Raw genomic sequence first — 17,120 nt, 5'->3', positions numbered from 1 at the left:
TAATTTAATTATTATTATTATTTTTTGAGACAGGGTCTCACTCTTTTGCCCAGGCTGAAGTGCAGTGGTGTAATCTTGGCTCTCTGTAGCCTTGACCTCCTGGGCTTAAGTGATCCTCCCACCTTAGCCTCCCAAGTAGCTGGTACTACAGATGTGTGCCACCACACTCCACTAATTTTTTTGTATTTTTTGTACAGATGGAGTTTTGCCATGTTTCCCAGGCTACTCTCAAACTCCTGGGCTCAAGGGATTCTCCTGCCTCAGCTTCTCAATGCGCTGGGACTTCAGATGTAAGCCACTGTGCCTGGCCTTAATTTTAATTATTTTTTTTGGCGGGGGGGTCTTGCTGTGTCACCCAGGCTAGAGCGCAGTGGTGTGATCATAGCTCAGTGACACCTCAAACTCCTGGGCTCAAGGGATCCTCCCACCTCGGCCTCCCCAAGTAGCTGGGACGACAGGCACCCACCAGCACACCTGGCTAATTTTTGTATTTTTTATAGAGATAGGGTTTCACCACATTGCTCAGGCTGGTCTTGAACTCCTGAGCTCAAGCGATCCACCCATTTCAGCCTCCCAAAGTGCTGAGATTACAGGCGTTAGCCACCACACCCAGCCTAAAAAGTTATTTTTAAAATAATCAAAATCACTTAGTAAAATTGAGGCAAAACAAACTATAAGTTATACTTGTATTAAAATTTAAATTAAGATTTAAAACTAAAATTTTACTTAACTTTTTGAAATTGTTATTAAATATTGCTAAATGTTTTTATGAAAAGAAATCTTAGCAGAGTGTGGTGGCTCACACTTGTAATCCCAGCACTTTGGGAGGCCAAAGTGGGAGGATCGCTTGAGTCCATGAGTTTGAGACCAATCTGGGCAACATAGTGAGACCCTTTCTCTACAAAAAATATTTTAAAAATTAGCCACACATGGCAGTGCATGTCTGTAGTTCAGCTACTTGGGAGGCTGAGGCCAAAGGATCACTTAAGCCCAGGATTTCGAGGCTGCAGTGAGCCATGATTGTGCCACTACACTCCAGCCTGGGTGACAGAGCAAAACTCTTCTCAAAAAGAAACAGAGAGAAGAAAAGAAATCTTCACTATTCACAGTTAAATTCTCTGTGAAGGCTGAAGTAGTGTTTGCTCTGCAGTTAGCAAAAGCACAACCTCCATGCATTGCCCTAGAACCTGAACGGTGCTATCATGACAGTGGGTGTTTGGGTTTGTCTCACACTGCATCAGCACTGAGTGTCAAATCAGTGGTTTGACAAAATGGGAATGCACATGAATTCTTTAATCAATTTATTGGAAATTGATCACTTGTATGTTTGTGATACACTCTAAGGAACAGGCCACAGGCAGATTAGAAGAGAGTGGTAACAGACAAAGCACAATTTCCAGTAAGTGATATTGGAGCAATTTGGAAGGAAAAAAAAGTGCAACGTCTACCTCACACCTTCCACCATAAATTCTAGATGGACCAAATATTAAACATTAAAAATGAAATTCTAAGAGTCCTTTAGAGCACCTGCCCTGGAGTCCCAGCAGTATCAATCCCAGGTGTGGAAACCTCTTCCTTTGCGTGGCTCCCCTGCGTTGTTTGCAGGAGAGGTCTGGAGGAAAGAGAGTCACCCCAGAAATACATCGATGCCTATATAGTGTTGTCTCTCTATCTTGGGTTTTTTCCTGCAGAAACCACTCTGAGACAAGCATCCAAATGCAAATAGATTATTTGGGAAGTAATGCCAAGAAGCACCAGTAAGGTATTGAGAGACAATTCCCCATGGTTCTCTCCTATTTCTGCACACTTGCCAGTAGAGGCACTGGTTGCCCTTGTTCTAAATAATCTTTACAAGGGTGATTATTATAGTGAGTAACCTTAGAAGATAGAGGTAGTATCTCCCTCCAGAGCAAAAGGCAGATTTTATTGTCCCGTATACTAAAGATAACATCTCCCACCTGGGCAGGTTTGCTTGCAGCTTATTATAAAAGACGTGGGTCCCCTAAATTCAGCATGCAGTTTCTCCACCGTAGTGCAACCCAATGCATATGCAGGCATCACCGGGCCATCATCACATCACTCTGTAGGAACTGCGGTTCAGGGAAGTGGTGCAAGAAAATGCTTTTACTCTGTCTACTGCCGTTACTGTAAACAATAATCTGTTGTCTGTTTCTGAACCCAGAGTTCTGTGCCTTCTGCCATGATCCTTGAGAATATGATAGACTATGATAGACTAACTTGTTTGCTTCAAAGTCGGATAAGCCGGGCGCGGTGGCTCACTCCTGTAATCCCAGCACTTTGGGAGGCCGAGGTGGGCAGACCATGAGGTCAAGAGATTGAGACCATCCTGGCCAACATGGTGAAACCCTGTTTCTACTAAAAATACAAAATAGCTGGGTGTGGTGGTGCGCACCTGTAGTCCCAGTACTCGGGAGCCTGAGGCAGGAGAATCGTTTGAACCTGGGAGGCAGAGGTTGCAGTAAGCCAAGATCACGCCACTGCACTCCAGCCTGGCAACAGAATGAGACTCTGTCTCAAAAAAAAAAAAAGAAAGTCGGATAAAATCTCAGCCTTCACACTTATTGATATAAAATGGGAGAGGGGGTGAGACAGGGAAGGAAAGGAAGCCAAAGGAGGTAGGTGGGTTTATGAGTGGGTTCCTTCTGTAGGCAACTGAGGCTCAGTCTTCAGTTGGGAGCTGGCAGAAAACACAAGCCACGGTTGTCCCACCCAAGGGGTGAGGGAGCTGGGCATGTGTCTACCAACTCTCTGTCTTCCTTGGTTTCAGGCTGCTCCAGGGGATTAGCTCTCAGGCACTTTTGGTTACTTACCCACCTGGCCTCTGCAGCAGAGAAAACCTCAGCTCACCATTGCAACTACTCTGTGGGAACTTGAGTGAGAGGGGATGTGAACTGCTTGGACCCCACCAGACTGTGATGGGGGCCTGCCTGAATAGTGCCCATTCCTTGTGCCTGGCACAGTGCCAGCAGATGGTGACTGAATGCATGCCCCATGGCCTAAGGATAAGGATCTATTTGCCTGCCTGTATCCTCCACCAGGCCATGAACTCCTTATGAGTAGGGACCGTGTCAATTTTTCTTTGGTACCACAGTATGACAGTGTAGTCCTGGCAATCAGCTCACTGAAGGTCTGTTGCATGAATGAAAGATGAAAAAAAAAGCCTCTAAAATAAACAAAAAATCAGAGTCAGCCAGAACTAGACTGAACCATTTTTAAGTAGAAAAGGGCCATCTATCCAAAATCAATAGCAAGTGCACTTGACAGGGAGGGACCAGAGGCACCCCAAGTGAGAAACAATATACAAATGCTCTAGTCGTTACAGTTTTTCAATATTGTATTGAAGGTCTCAGCCAAGCTATTAAACAAGGAAAATAAATAAGAGCCATAAGTATTAAAAAGGAAAAGACAGGCCGGGTGTGGTGGCTCAGGCCTGTAATCCCAGCATTTTGGGAGGCCGAGGTGGCAGATCACTTGAGGTCAGGAGTTCGAGACCAGCCTGGCCAACATGGCAAAACCCCGTCTCTACTGAAAATACAAAAAAAAAATTAGCCTGGCATGGTGGTGGACGCCTGTAATCCCAGCTACTCGGGAGGCTGAGCCAAGAGAATCGCTTGAACCTGGGAGATCGCGCCACTGCACTCCAGTCTGGGCAACAGAGTGGCACTTTGTCTCAAAAAAAAAAAAAAGAAAGAAAGGAAAAGACAAATTTGTCATTGTCATTATTTTCAGTGGTAAAATGTCAATGTAGAAAATCCAAGAGAAGCAACAACAAGCACATCTTGTAAGAGAAAACAAAAAGGTGTCCAGTTATAAGATAAACCCCTGTAAATTAATGGCTTGCCCATGCAGCAGCAAGAACCAGTTAGGCCATCTCTCTGTATAATACATAACAAGAAAAACTGTAACATCTGAGACTAGATAAGCAGGAAAGTGAACCTTCCATGAGGGGCACAGCCCTGGTGCAGCCACAGTAAGAAAAAATGAGAAGGGGGGAGCTGAAAGCCACCTTCCGCTTGGCTGTGAGTTGTATTCTCCTGCCCACCCTTAGCCCACCAAATCTTCTCCGGGGCCCCTGAGTCAGGTGCACAGTCAGGGTCCTAATGTCCTTCCCTAAACTAGCCCTCTGCACTAGGGGATGGACGCAAGCTGGCTGTCCCAGAGTGTGGAGTGGCTGTGTTCTTTCCCTATAGCAAAGCCAAGGGCATTAGTACAGCTGTGGGCAGGGTTCCTAAGCCAGGCCTGAGGCTCCCATCGGGAGTGGGAGTGGGTGGTGAGAGAATGAGGGGACAGCCAGATAGTGAGAGGGTTCAGAGCTCATGGGGTAAAGGCAGCCTCTCTGGCCCCTCCTCAAGACCAAGTGGAAGGGAAGAGCTCTGCAAACTGGCAGAGAACTTGGTCTGGGGCCATGTAGTGGAGGGGCAACACCCCAAAGACCTGAGGCTCCTCTACAATTTGTCTGGCCCCCACCCCTCACCCTGCCAAATATAGGCACAGGCCTGGCACCCAGTTGATGGTGCTCAGGGTACAGAGGAGTAAATAAAAGCTGGAATAGCAAACTCCACGGGGCCAGCTTTGCCTCGGGCACAGTGCTCCAGGTCTCCTCCCACAGCCACAGCCAGCAGCCTCCTCTGCCCTTGGAGGGCGCACAGGACCTTGTTGGGCCTTCGGAGGAGAAGTAGGGTTGGGGGCAGGTGGTGACTCTGGCAGAGGCTCTGTTTCCTCTTCCAGCTCCAGGGCCCACCCCACTGTGACTGGCAGAGTCTGAAGGGCTGGGCTGGCCTGGGTGTGGCCCCAGCTACGAAGATCCTCCATCCAGAGTCTCAGGCTCTAGGGGTCAATTTTTGGCTTTTGTAGGGAAGTAAACAGGAGGTGGGAATGAGGGGACAGATGCTGGAGGGAGGCTGGCAACAGGGGAAAGTTCCAGAGGGTCAGAGAAAGTAGAAGCATTTGAGTAAAATTTGGAAGGCTGAATTTTATTCAAGGAATCAGGGAGGGAGGGTGGCAGGGAGAATGAGTTCCAGGTGCCCAGTACAGCTAAGCAAAGCACCGGTATTGGAAATCCTGGGGTTGGTTAGTGAAAGCTGGGAGGAGCCTGTGGTTAGTTCCCAGGCGGGTTTGCTGGGAGAATCACCAGCCTCCATTTCCCAGAGGTCAACGGAGTGTGGTTCTCAGGGGGTGCCAAGCTCCAAGCATGAAGCCAAAAAGGTCAGGGATGTGGATAAGGTCTGGTTCATTTCCCTCCCAGACCTGCCTCACCTTGCTGTGTGACACTGGGCAAGTCATGGGCCCTCTCTGAGCTTTGGCTCTCTTTTCTTTCTTTTTTTTTTTTTTCTGATGCGGAGTCTCACTCTGTCGTCCAGGCTGGAGTGCAGTGGTGCAATCTCCGCTCACGGCAAGCTCCGCCTCCCGGGTTCAGGCCATTCTCCTGCCTCAGCCTCCTGAGTAGCTGGGATTATAGGCACCCGCCACTACGCCCAGCTAATTTTTTTGTATTTTTAGTAGAGACAGGGTTTCACCGTGTTAGTCAGGATGGTCTCGATCTCCTGACCTCGTGATCCACCCGACTCAGCCTCCCAAAGTGCTAGGATTACAGGAGTGAGCCACCACGCCCAGCCCCATCTTTGGCCCTCTTTTCTATGACATGGGGCAGTGTTTGAGCTTACATGGGCTCTGCGCTCCCATGACTTGGAGGCAGTGGTTGGGCCTCTGAGGCAGAGTAACACCACACACACACAAACACACACACACACACACACACACACACACACACGTGCATGCATGCAACCCTGGCTTGGTTTCCAGAGCCTGGAGCTCCCCCATCCAAGGGAGGCCCTGCGTGGACACCTATGATTATGGACATGGACCCAGTTGGCCAGGTGCAGTGGCTCACGGGACCCGGTGCTCAAGGCCCACGCCCATGAACATACACGTACGTGTGGGTGCCTGTGCAAGGGTGTGTGAGTCTCTATGCTGTGTACATGTGATGTTGCTTGGCTTCCCCAGAGCCTAATGCCTCCCACGGCTCCCCACTGCTGACCAGAAAAATCGTAAGGACCCAGCTACTCATGAGGGGCCTGTCAGGAGGAGTCTATGTGCAAGTCCATGAGTTCTGCAAGGCCAGGGCCCCACCTGAACCATCCAACCTCCTGGGCCTGGCTTACAGTTGGTGCCTAATAAATGACTGTGCAGGAATGATGGGCCTGCAGGTAAGACAGGTGAGACAGGCCAGATGACAGCCTCAGTTACCCCTTCCCCAACTTTGGGAAGGTGGTCTCAGCCCTCAGCAATCCTAGGACCCCTCACGGAGGCTGTTGGCAGGAAAGGACTCGTCCCAGATGCTGTGTCCTCGCCTGACCTTGTATTCTGCCCCACCTAGTGGCCCTAAGGGAGGCTGAGGTACTGAGCTCTTGGCTGTGACTAAGCGGAAGGAAGACAGAAAGGAGGGGTGATACTGGGGCCCTAGGGTTTTGCTTCTCATTTCTCTCTTTCCAAAGCACAGTTAGTTCCCAGAAATGAAGGTACCCAGAAACAGTGAAACTCTGGGCTTTCAGGGGCACAGGGTCCCCCAGTCTTTCCACCCTTGGAGGCACCACCAAGGGCCTGGGTAAGTCCCTAGCCCATGTCTACTCATGGAGTACTTGGGGCAACCACACTGGAGCCTGGTGGGGCTCCCAAGGACCTTTCAGGAGCATGTGGCCCAGATTGATTTGCTGTGACAGATGCTGGGTGGGAGGTGCCGGGAGCCTCAGGCTATGGGGGCTGGAGCAGTTGGGGCAGACCTCCGGGAAGGGAATGGTCACGTGGGGCATCAAGTGCCCCAGATGCCCCACCCCACAGGAGTTCCTTTCGTCCATCCTTTCACTCTTCCTCTTTTTTTTTTTTGAAACAGTCTTGCTGTCGCCCACGCTAGAGGGTAGTGAGGTGATCTCAGCTCACTGCAACCTCCGCCTTCCGGGTTCAAGCGATTCTCCTGCCTCAGCCTCCCGAGTAGCTGGAATTACAGGCATGAGCCACCATGCCCAGCTAATTTTTGTATTTTTAGTAGAGACAGGGTTTCACCATGTTGGCCAGGCTGGTCTTGAACTCCTGAGCTCGGGTGATCTGCCTGCTTCAGCCTCCCAAAGTGCTGGGATTACAAGTGTGAGCCACCCTGCACGGCCCCTTTCTTTCTGGCTTCCTCCTCCCTTCTTCCTTTTCTTTCATTTTTAAAACATTTTTTTAAAATTATTATTTTTAAATTTTTTTTTTTGAGATGGAGTCTAGCTCTGTCGCCCAGGCTGGAGTGCAGTGGCATGATCTTGGCTCACTGCAATCTCTGCCTCCCGGGTTCAAGCAATTCTCCTGCTTCAGCCTCCCGAGTAGCTGGGATTACAGGTGTCCACCACCACACCCAGCTAATTTTTGTATTTTTAGTAGACGGGGTTTCACTGTGTTGGCCAGGCTGGTCTTGAACTCCTAACCTTGTGATCCTTGGCCTCCCAAAGTGCTGGGATTACAAACGTGAGCTACTGCGCCTGGCCTATTATTATTATTTTTGAGACAGAGTTTTGCTCTTGTTGCCTGGGTGGGAGTACAATGGCGTGATCTTGGCTCACTGCAACATCTGCCTCTCGGTTTCAAGCGATTCTCCTGCCTCAGCCTCTCAAGTAGCTGGGATTACAGGCGTGAGCCACCACACCCGGCTAATTTTTGTATTTTTAGTACAGACGGATTTTCACCATGTTGGCCAAGCTGGCCTCGAACTCCTGACCTCAGGTGATCTGCCTGCCTCAGCCTCCCAGAGTGCTGGGATTACAGGCGTGAGCCACCGCGCCCGGCCTAAAATTATTTTTTTAGAGACAGGGTCTGACTCTGATGTCCAGGCTGGAGTGCAGTGGCGCTATTATAGCTCACTGCTGTCTTAAACTCTTGTGCTCAAGTAATCCTCCTGCCTCAGCCTCCCGAGTAGGTGGGACCACAGGCATGTGCCACCATGCCCAGCTCATATTTTTAATTATTGAAAAAAAAAAAACCCAATTTTAAAAACCACACACAGACTCAAATGGGCACAGCACCAAATTATGACACATTAGAATCCTTCCTATGTGCTCAGAGAACAGGGTTTGTGCTGAGCTTGAGATAAGGCTTCTCTTGCTGTCCCTGTCAATCAAAGAGACTGCAAGGTGGGCTTCAGACACAGTGCTAGCATTTGTAAACAATTATCTGTGAGAATCAGCGGTCACTTTGTCCTGTGCTACCAAAATCAAACACTGAAAGAAAATGGACATTGAGACCAACATAAGACTACAACTACCATCCCAGCCCCCAGTTCAAACATTTGTGTTCATTGCTCTTCGCCCTGATGGACTGTATGCTAAGAAAGAATTTGCACTTGCAAAATACATTTTTGCTAACTAGATGCTCATTTTATCTTTTTAAAAATATGTATTTCAGTTGCACATGAAATGTACTTTGAAAGAATGAGCTCCAAAGTTCTGGGGGGCTGAGACAGGCGGGCTGAGTGAAATGATGAAGAAACAGTGGCTTTCAGTGCGGGCCAAGAGAGTAGTGAGCAATGGTCAGTTATTGAGCTGTGGAGTGCCTTCAACAAGGGTTTTTAGACACATCCATCTGGTGCCTCATCCCAGAACCTCACAGGCCTAGGGACCTGAAATGCTCCCCATGACAAGGCAAACTTCATATCCTCACATGCTGAGACAGACTCAACTTTCAGTCTGGAACTGGGCTGGGTGTCTGTCAGTCCACGCCACCCATATCCGGAGTACATCAGAGTCTGGGTTCAGTGGCAGCCACTTTCGCTGCCCTCTCCTGCCCCACACCTAGCGCTCTGCCTGGCCCCTTTGCTGTGGGCGTGAAAATCTGGCACCCGGGCCGACAGGGAGAGAGCTCAGTCTGCGTCTGCTGCTTTCTGTTTGATTCATCACTTTCCCCTTCACCCTGGAGCCCACGTTGGCTGTGGGGCACCTAACTGGCTCCTGAGGCCCCTCTGGGGGGTTGAGGCCCTGGGCTGCATTTGGCCTCGGCAGCCTGCTCACGCCTCTCCTGACTGGGATGTCAGAGGACTAGGTTCAAACTCCAGCATGGCCAGCTGCTGGCTGTGTGACCTTGGGCATGTTAAGCCTCAGTCCCTTCATCCATACAGTGGGCCAAGGAAGGGATCCCTGATGTGCCAACAGATGGATTTATGACCACGTGTGTGCAGCACCTGGCACTAGTTTACACACTGCAGATGCCCGGTACTGTTGTCGCCAGCACTCAGGTCTAGGAGAGTGGTCTTCACAACTCTACCTCAAGGGTTGCCTTTGGACTGTGTCCCCACATGGTCACATTTGCATCTCCAGACGCCCCAATGCTGCTTCTCGGATATTCTGAAGGCATCCTACACTGTCAAGCTCCCCGACTGTTCCCCCCAGCACCCCAGTCTCCAACTCAGGGTGGCCCCATTTCCCCCAGGTCCCAATCAGATCCCTGGGCCCACTGTGGTCCTGGCCATCTCACATCCAAACCCTCAGCAATGGTTGTGAGTCAGTTCTGTTCCAGAATATCTGATGCCACTGCTACAGACCCCAGCCACCTCCAGACCCTGGACAAGTTGCAGCCTCCTGCCCCAGCCCCTTTTTCCTGGCAGCCAGAAAGAGCAGCCTCAATGCTTCTCTAACCCTGTAACTCAGCTCAAAAAGCTCTTTAGGCCCCTGGTCCCCAGAAATGCATTCAGAGCTCAGCCAAGGGGACCTCTCGGCACCACCTCACCCCTACATATCCCTACCCGCATGTCTGCAGAACTCCAGGCTTTTGTCCAGACTGTCCCTACTGCCTGGTATATTCCTGTCCTATCCGCCCCTCCTCAAGCCTGGTGTGATGACTAAGGCCTCCAGCTCCAGGTCACTCAGCCTATGCCAGAATCACAGCTCAGCCAGCCTATGAGCAAGTTTCTTAGCCCCAGTTTGTTTCTTCGTCAGTATAACGAGAGGGTTCACAGCCTCCATCTCTGAGGATGTCATGAAGGTTGAGTAAGATAATCCTGGAAGTACTTGGCGCAGGATGCACCATATTCTATAGGACCCTCCACTTGGTATCATCTCCCTGGTGCCTGACACAAAGTAGGTCTTGAGAGACTGAGGCCCTGGCCCTATACCTCAGGAGATGCACCCAGGAGCAGCTGCAGGTCTTCTAGAAAGCCCTCTAGGGACAGCCCTGGAAACCCTTGCTCCTGCTCCAAGGGTCCACAAGCCCAGGTAACTTCTGCGCTAAGCTCTGCAGGGGACAGCCCAGGACCTAGTTATGCTGGCCTCAGCGTCTCTGATAGTCAAATGGACACCAATGGCAGCCTCATCCTCCCTTCCTGTCCAGCTATGCAACCTGACCTGCAACTGCACCCTGCTGAGCCTTGGTGTCCTCAACTTTGTAATGTGGGGACAACTAAAAACCCCATGTGCCAGCCCTGGCAACATAGCAAGACCCCGTTTCTAAAAAAAAAAAAAAATTAAAAATTAGCCAGGCAGGGTTGTTCACACCTGTAGTCCTAGTTTGCTTTGCTTGGTCACGTAGCTCAGCCTCACACTGACTTCCAGGAACAGCAGAGGGACTTGGACGCCTCTCCAGGCAGGCAGGCCTGTTCCTGGAAAGCCAGGTGGGGTGGGGGGTCTTCAGGTGGCAAAGGAAGGACTGGCAGCTGTGAGCCAGAGAAGAGACCTGGCTCGTGCCCCAGCCCTGCTCCTGTCCTGCTAAGCCTCAGTTTCCTCATCTGTACCACAGGGATCTCTGTGAGCGCTTCAGGCACCAACAATCTGCTCCCTGGGCTCAGTAGGGGATATCTGATCCCACCATTTCCCCAGCCACATGCCCCAGAAGAGGGCCGCAGACCTAGTACAAGAGGGAGCAATAAGGTGACATCCTCTGCTCTGAGAGGTAGAGTGTTTGGGGAAGACCCCAGCCCCTGGGAAGGGGGCCACTTAGCCAGGCCTGCCTGCCACGGGGCATGGCTACTCTAAGCTGTCTCACCCTCCCCCTTTAGGCATAGCTGGGGCAGGTGGAGGTCAGCCCAGTTCAGGGCTTTCCATGAAGCTGAGGTAGGCTTCCCTGCCTTTCCCACTTTGTGAGCTGTAAAATTAGCCTTTCCTGACCATTTTCCTGCAGGACTGCTGTATGTGTGAGAGGTAGTCTTTGGAAGAAAAGGGGCCTCTAGAATTTGAAGCTTCTGATTTCTGGTTATGAGGCCAAAGATCCCAAAGGTCCTTCCAGACACCTCAGGAGGGCCCTGGGGGGCAGAGGCTGGGGGCTGTACAGCCAATTACCTCAGAGGGGAAGGCACCCACTCATTCCGCAAGCGGGGGAAATCCTGCTCTCCTCCCACAGCTACCAGAGCTTCAGATGGGACTCAGATCTGTCTGCACACCCAGGGCTACAGTTGGCCTAATGTGACTCTTACCTGCCCATAAACCTGGCCCAGAGGGCTTTATGGGCCAGAATCCCTGGGTTTAGTAGCTACATGGACAGCCATATGAGCACCACCTAATTGACTTAATTAACTAACCCCAGGCCTTTGGAAGCAATAGGAGATGAGAGCATCATACTGGGAGTCAGGAGTCAAGTGCTGTGTTACTTCAAGTAAGCCCCATCCCTCTCTGGGAAAAAAGATCAGGGATTGAATATAAGTCTTGCCATGATCCACCCCTTCCAGTATAAACAGGCCCTCCTGGCTTCATCCAAAGCGTATCCAGGTGATTTGGGGCCAAGCTGACCCTTGAACCCAGGTGTCCATGCTCTCTGTCCCCCAGCTTCTCAGCTCTGAAACCCAGCATGAGGCCCATGTCTGGCCTCCCAGTAGCTCTCCATGTGGCTCCTGGGTTAGGACTGGCTTCAGGAGCCCCAAGCCTTGGCTGGGTGGGATGGTGTCTCCAGAGTCCTTTAGTACCCCTGGAAAGGGAGGTCCTAGTCCCAGCTTGGACAGGGACAGGGCTGAGGGCACCAGTTGGCCAATTCAGTTTTAGGAACCAGGAGGTTGAGAACCCCAGGGATAGCCCCACTCCACCATAGGAACAGAATGGTGACACAGCTCTGCTCAGGCCTATGGCTTACATGGAGGGGCCAGGCCCATTAGCTCAAAGTCAGGGGCTGCTGTGCTCATTTCACAGATGCAGTACCTGCAACCCAGAGAGTACAGGGCCCCTGCTCATCCTCACACACCCAAGGGGTCCTGGGCCAGTCACATAACTCCACAGGAGAGCAGGAACAGGCTTGGTCCCAGTCTCTGAGGTCCTCTCTGGACCCAGTCTCTGGAGATGGGCCATGGAGGCCAGCCTTGCACTTTCTCCCCACATCCCAGTCCCATTCCTCACCCACTCCCTTCTGGGACCCATGCTGGTCAGTCTTTCAGTCTTCTCACTCTGGGAAAGGGCCACCTCTCTCCAAATATGAGTAAAAAAAGGGGGGGCCTGGGCAGTTTAGGTCTGAAGGTTGAGGAAGAGTTCCCCTGGCCACATCACCTATCAGAAGAGAGGTGGTTAAGGCAATTTATCATGACTCTCAAAATTCTTCCAGCCTCTGCCCATTTCCACGTTGCAATTCCAAAGCCACTTCAATCAGTAGGCGTGTGTTACAGCAGCACTCTAATTTGGGCACCACAATCTATATTCGTTTCCCGTGGCTGCTGTAACAAATTATCACACATGTGTTTTCACACATGTGAAAACAACACAAATTTATGATCTTACTGTTCTGGAGGTCAGCAATCTGAAATCAGTTTCACAGGGCTTAAAATCAAGGTATTGGCAGGACTGCATTCTTCTTGAGGCCCCAGAGGAGAAGAGGCTGTCTGCATTCCTCGGCTCATGGCTCTTCCTCCAGCAATTGCATCACTCTGACCTCTGCTTCCATTGTTACATACATTTTCTTCCGTCACTCTGACACTCCTGCCTCCTTTACAGAGGCCCTTGTGATTATACTCAGTTTACCTGAAAAATCCAGGATACTCCTTCCATCTCAAGATCCTTAATCACATCTGCAAAGTCCATTTTGCTATGTGAAGGTAATATAGTCACATGTTAAGGTTTAGGTGATTAAGACACTGCCATTTTGGGGGGTCACTGTTCAGCCTACCAGAGCAGGGGTAGAGTTGCTTTGACAGTCCCAAATCCAGTTCAGGGGGCTTGTCCAGGGCAGAAGGTCATGAGGAGGAGATCAGGTCACTGTCCTAGCCAGGACTCTGGCTGGGGGCTGGCTGAAGCCAAGAGCTCCAGGAAACCTGGCGCCTGCTCCTACTGCCGCCAAGGACAGCCTGTTCTCCTGGTGTGGCTGTTGCGCAGGGATCAGGTGCACTTGAGTCTTCGAAGTGGCCATTGCTCAACTTGAATGGCTGCCTGGGTCGGGCAGAAGGCCAGGTCCTCATGGCTTCCCATCCCTAATGACCGGAATACATGGGCTGCCAGGTCAGATGTGGGCCACATGGGAAGTCCCAGCTCTATTCTAGAAAATGCATGTACCATCAGCTTACTGATAGACATTTACTGAACTTGGGTATGCCAGATCCACAGGGGGCCCCAGAGATGAGGGGGATAAGAAGGTTTCTGAAGGCATGGTACAGAAGGTGCCAGCAGAGGTATGGGCTAGGGGAGGCAGGGAGAGCACAGAGCAGGCATCCTAAAGGAGGCAGCATTTGTGTTGGAGCTTGAAGAAGTGGATTGTTTGCACCGCCTGGGCAAAGGGAAGGTGTGTGTTCAGGGCATCGAGAGTACTGCACAAAGGCTGAAGCCCAGGGCAGTAGAGAAGAGAATCCACTAAGAAGGAGCCAATGAAGAAAAAAAAGAGAAAAGAATCGAAGGTGGATAGGGAAAGACATGCTGTCCCGCAGAGGTTAAAGGGGTTCTCACCTCAAGCCAGCAGTTCTCAAACCTTGTCAGCAGTGGAGCCCTTTGTTCTGATGACAGCCTACTCAGAGCACTGATGGGGCCTTGGGAGGGGCCCCCAGGGCTTTTCCCACAGTTGTCCTCCCCCACCTCTTCAGAACTGGATTCCATAGGACACAAGAGAACACACTTAAGTCATGGGGAGCCAGCTAAGTGTTTGGGGCAAGGATTGGGAGCAGCCAATAGCCCAGGGTCCAGGTGGGGGTAAAGGAGCAAAAAAGAGTATTTTTTGCATTTAGGGGGTTCGGGGCCTATTTCAATAAGGCAGCTGTATGAGACCCATGGAGAAACCCACTGACAACTGGGAAAAGCATCCAACTGTGAGACAAGGCCTCAGTTTCCCCAACTATCAGAAGAGGAGATAGAATTACTCTCCCAGAGTACATCAAACAGGGACTCCTACACTCCTGTCTATGCTCTGGGCTCTGGCTGAAGGAGGCTGCACGGGCAGTGGGCACATCTCTCAAGACCTCAGGGGCTTGCACAGCCTGGACTCCATCAGCTCCATGTCCTCCTCCCATTCTGCCTGCAAGTGCTCCTTGACATATGCTGGTGGTGGTGGGGAGGCTGTTCGAGTCTCTGGCTTTGGCCTCAGGAGCAAGGGAGGGGATAGGGCAGGTGGGCCTGGCTTTCCCTGAGCTAGAGCCACTGGCTGCCCTGGCCTGGGCCTCAAGGCACTGGGGCCATAGTGAGGAGAGGCTGAGGGGAGATGTAGGCTGCCAGGCTACCAGCCTGCTGGCTCCATCTCTAGACAACAGTGAGGAGTCAAGAGCCCAAGACTGAAACTCCTGCCTTCCCTTCTTTCCAGACTGCCTTGTATCCCTGCCTGCCTTATGTTGGTCCCATGCATCAGATGGACGCCTGAGGGCACTGGGTCCTTCCTCCCTGTGTCTGCCCTCCGAGGAAGGCAAGGAAAAATGCCACAATGTGCCAAGCCAGGCACATCCCATGGGCTCCTCACATGCATCCTATAAAATAAAGCATTAAGTCCCATTTCTCAGCCTTAGAAGCCAAGGCTGAGTGAGGTGAAGTCATCTGCCCAAGGTCACATCCTCGTGAGGGGCAGATTCTGGGATTGAAATCCAGGCTGGTGTGGCTCCAACATCTGGGCTCAACGTCCAGGGCCCAATCAAGCCAGTGGCTGCAGGCTTGAGGCCCCGCCTGCCAGTCCTCTTGGCTTGGACCTTTTCCTCAGCAGAGTCAAGCTGCACATTTTTCTGGGCAGAAAGTTGTGCCCGAGGCCGGCTCCTGCTTGTGGCCCCAGCTGCCCCGACAGTGTCACTCTCCAACACTGCACTCTCTTCTGGTGCAACATCCACAAGCTCGCCAAGGCCCTTCCTCAGGAATGGGCCTGAGGCCAGGAGGGAGAGACCATCAGGGAAGCCAGGACTGGCTGAGGTGTAGGGGGGCGACAGACTGCTCCGAGGTCAGGGCAGCTACCCTGAGATGCTGCTGAAGACAGCAAGAGCCAAAGGGCACAAGGAGAAAGACAGAAAGGGCAATACTGGTGAGGACCTTAGCAGGCAAAGGTCTGTGAGCATGGGGGACTAAGGAAGTGGGGAGCCTTGCCCTGGTTGTGCACCCCCTTCGCCCTCCCCACCCAGGTTCCTTCTGGAGCAGCCTCCTTAAAGGAAGCCAGGGGCAGCTCAGAGTCCATGCAGCTGGGGCTGGGCACAGGGCAGGACACTGGGGCACTGGGAGCTGCAGTGTGACCTCTACCAAATGTGTCCTCCAGCCATAGTGCAGGGCAACACTTAGGCTGGGTATGACTCCAGCAATATAGGCTCCCCAAAGGGAGGGATCTAACTTACTGTCTCCACTTGGTCACTGTCATGTGACCTCAGGCAGTACATACCTTCTCTTGCTCTCCATGCCTGGCGAATGGACATTCAGATGCCAGCATGCACATTCCACTTGACTAAGAGTAAAGAGGTTGCCAGTTGGCGTTGGCCCTGGACTCAGAAGAGCCAGCTTCTCATAGGGAAAGGAGTTGCCCAAGGTCCCACTGCAGGACACAGCCCTGGAACTCAGCTCTCCCAGCTGCAGCAGAGGATGCTGCCTATTGGACCATACTGCCCATCAGACCATACTGCCAGGCCCTGGGAAGTGCCAGGGTGGCAGGGGGCAGTCTAGTGGAATGAGACAGCCTGGTTTGCCATGTTTCTTAGGACCCACCCTGATGTAGGCTCACATCACCAGCACTCACCAACCTAGAGATTTCCTGTCGCTGTTGACAGGAAGGCTGGATCTGCAGGCCTCCTGGTGGCCATGAGTCTGCACAGACCAGAGCTGGGGTGGAGGCCACAACCCTGTGCCCAGTATCTCAGCTTCTCACTCTCCCCAGCCCCAACCAGGGACACATGGGTTATTTGAAACCCCAGGGGGTCAACTCGGGAGGGATGTTTTAGCTAAAAGCTATGGGGATAAAAAGGAAACACCCCTCACTGGCTCAAGCCTTCAGTTAAATGAACGTGGATGTGCGACCCAGGAACTGTGCAGCAAAGACCTCCAGACCCTCCCCTCCAGAAAGCAGGCAGTCATCCTTGAGCCAAAACGCAGATGAGCTTCCTGTGCTCGAGCCAGGCTTGGCCAGGGAATTGTGTACGCATGCACCCAGGGCAGTGGAGGACTAATCAATCCCTGGGAGTGAGCTGCTCTATGCCAGGACCCATGGTATCCAAGGCCAGGAGTGAGGACTCACGTGCCTTCCTCCACACTGCACCCCCACACCACTACCAAGCAGGGGACTGACGGCCAGCCCTGCTGGGGCAGAAGGAAACCCTTGCCCCAGTGCTACCTGGGAGTAAGGGGGTCAGGGGACCTGCAAGTCATGGACAAAACATTAGGTCACCATTTGTTAGTCTCTCAATACTTTACTGGCCATATCCCCCGATACCCCCACAGCAATTTCACCAACACAGAGCAACTGCCCTCAGCCACTCTGATGTGATGGAGCCAATCCAGGTGTCCTAGAAATATCCTAGAAATGCAGAGCATGGGGAAATCACAGAACCCTGGGAAATGCCATAAGAACCTGGGCTCTGGAAAGTGCCATCCACCTCCCCTCTGGTCAGGCTGGCGGCACTGACAAGGCATCCACAGGGCAGCCATGCTATGGCCCAGACCTCCGGATATGCAGGAACCGGGGCCTGAGGAGACAGGGACAGGGGCTGGTTACCACCTGGGCCTCAGGGA

The 17,120-nt window shown here is 51.9% G+C and overlaps 1 protein-coding gene across 34 annotated transcripts in view, besides 7 other annotated features; it reads right to left on the bottom strand.

The window, feature by feature from the left end:
* Positions 1–1,288: 1,288 nt before the first annotated feature.
* The window catches only part of HEMK1 (HemK methyltransferase 1, mitochondrial release factors N(5)-glutamine), a 26,987-nt gene continuing 11,155 nt past the window's right edge, over positions 1,289–17,120 (bottom strand). For 17 of the 34 annotated variants that reach the window (NM_001317851.2, XM_047448287.1, XM_047448285.1 and 14 more), the window contains one exon: positions 1,289–17,074. In NM_001317851.2, coding sequence (NP_001304780.1) covers positions 17,038–17,074 — 37 coding nt within the window. In that variant the 3' untranslated portion in view covers positions 1,289–17,037. The remainder of the gene's footprint in view (positions 17,075–17,120) is intronic. The other 17 variants (XM_011533808.1, XM_047448281.1, XM_011533807.2 and 14 more) reach the window with 7 other exon arrangements.
* Positions 6,518–6,627: an enhancer, noted in NCBI's record as "active region_19911". NCBI's record gives its function as "activates an Ori minimal core promoter by ATAC-STARR-seq in GM12878 lymphoblastoid cells {active_cell/tissue: GM12878}" and the evidence as "EXISTENCE:reporter gene assay evidence [ECO:0000049][PMID:35858748]".
* Positions 6,648–6,737: an enhancer, noted in NCBI's record as "active region_19910". NCBI's record gives its function as "activates an Ori minimal core promoter by ATAC-STARR-seq in GM12878 lymphoblastoid cells {active_cell/tissue: GM12878}" and the evidence as "EXISTENCE:reporter gene assay evidence [ECO:0000049][PMID:35858748]".
* Positions 6,808–6,867: an enhancer, noted in NCBI's record as "active region_19909". NCBI's record gives its function as "activates an Ori minimal core promoter by ATAC-STARR-seq in GM12878 lymphoblastoid cells {active_cell/tissue: GM12878}" and the evidence as "EXISTENCE:reporter gene assay evidence [ECO:0000049][PMID:35858748]".
* Positions 6,878–6,997: an enhancer, noted in NCBI's record as "active region_19908". NCBI's record gives its function as "activates an Ori minimal core promoter by ATAC-STARR-seq in GM12878 lymphoblastoid cells {active_cell/tissue: GM12878}" and the evidence as "EXISTENCE:reporter gene assay evidence [ECO:0000049][PMID:35858748]".
* Positions 12,787–13,305: an enhancer, noted in NCBI's record as "H3K27ac-H3K4me1 hESC enhancer chr3:50621581-50622099 (GRCh37/hg19 assembly coordinates)". NCBI's record gives its function as "activates a minimal SCP1, AML or CMV promoter by ChIP-STARR-seq in naive H9 embryonic stem cells {active_cell/tissue: H9 hESC(naive)}" and the evidence as "EXISTENCE:reporter gene assay evidence [ECO:0000049][PMID:30033119]".
* Positions 14,662–15,161: an enhancer, noted in NCBI's record as "H3K4me1 hESC enhancer chr3:50619725-50620224 (GRCh37/hg19 assembly coordinates)". NCBI's record gives its function as "activates a minimal SCP1, AML or CMV promoter by ChIP-STARR-seq in primed H9 embryonic stem cells {active_cell/tissue: H9 hESC(primed)}" and the evidence as "EXISTENCE:reporter gene assay evidence [ECO:0000049][PMID:30033119]".
* Positions 15,162–15,663: an enhancer, noted in NCBI's record as "H3K4me1 hESC enhancer chr3:50619223-50619724 (GRCh37/hg19 assembly coordinates)". NCBI's record gives its function as "activates a minimal SCP1, AML or CMV promoter by ChIP-STARR-seq in primed H9 embryonic stem cells {active_cell/tissue: H9 hESC(primed)}" and the evidence as "EXISTENCE:reporter gene assay evidence [ECO:0000049][PMID:30033119]".

Source organism: Homo sapiens, chromosome 3 (assembly GCF_000001405.40).
Source record: "Homo sapiens chromosome 3, GRCh38.p14 Primary Assembly".
Taxonomy (NCBI): Eukaryota; Metazoa; Chordata; class Mammalia; order Primates; family Hominidae; genus Homo; species Homo sapiens.
The sequence above is the reverse complement of the archived record's forward strand: the minus strand, read 5'-3'. Positions and strand labels throughout refer to the sequence as shown.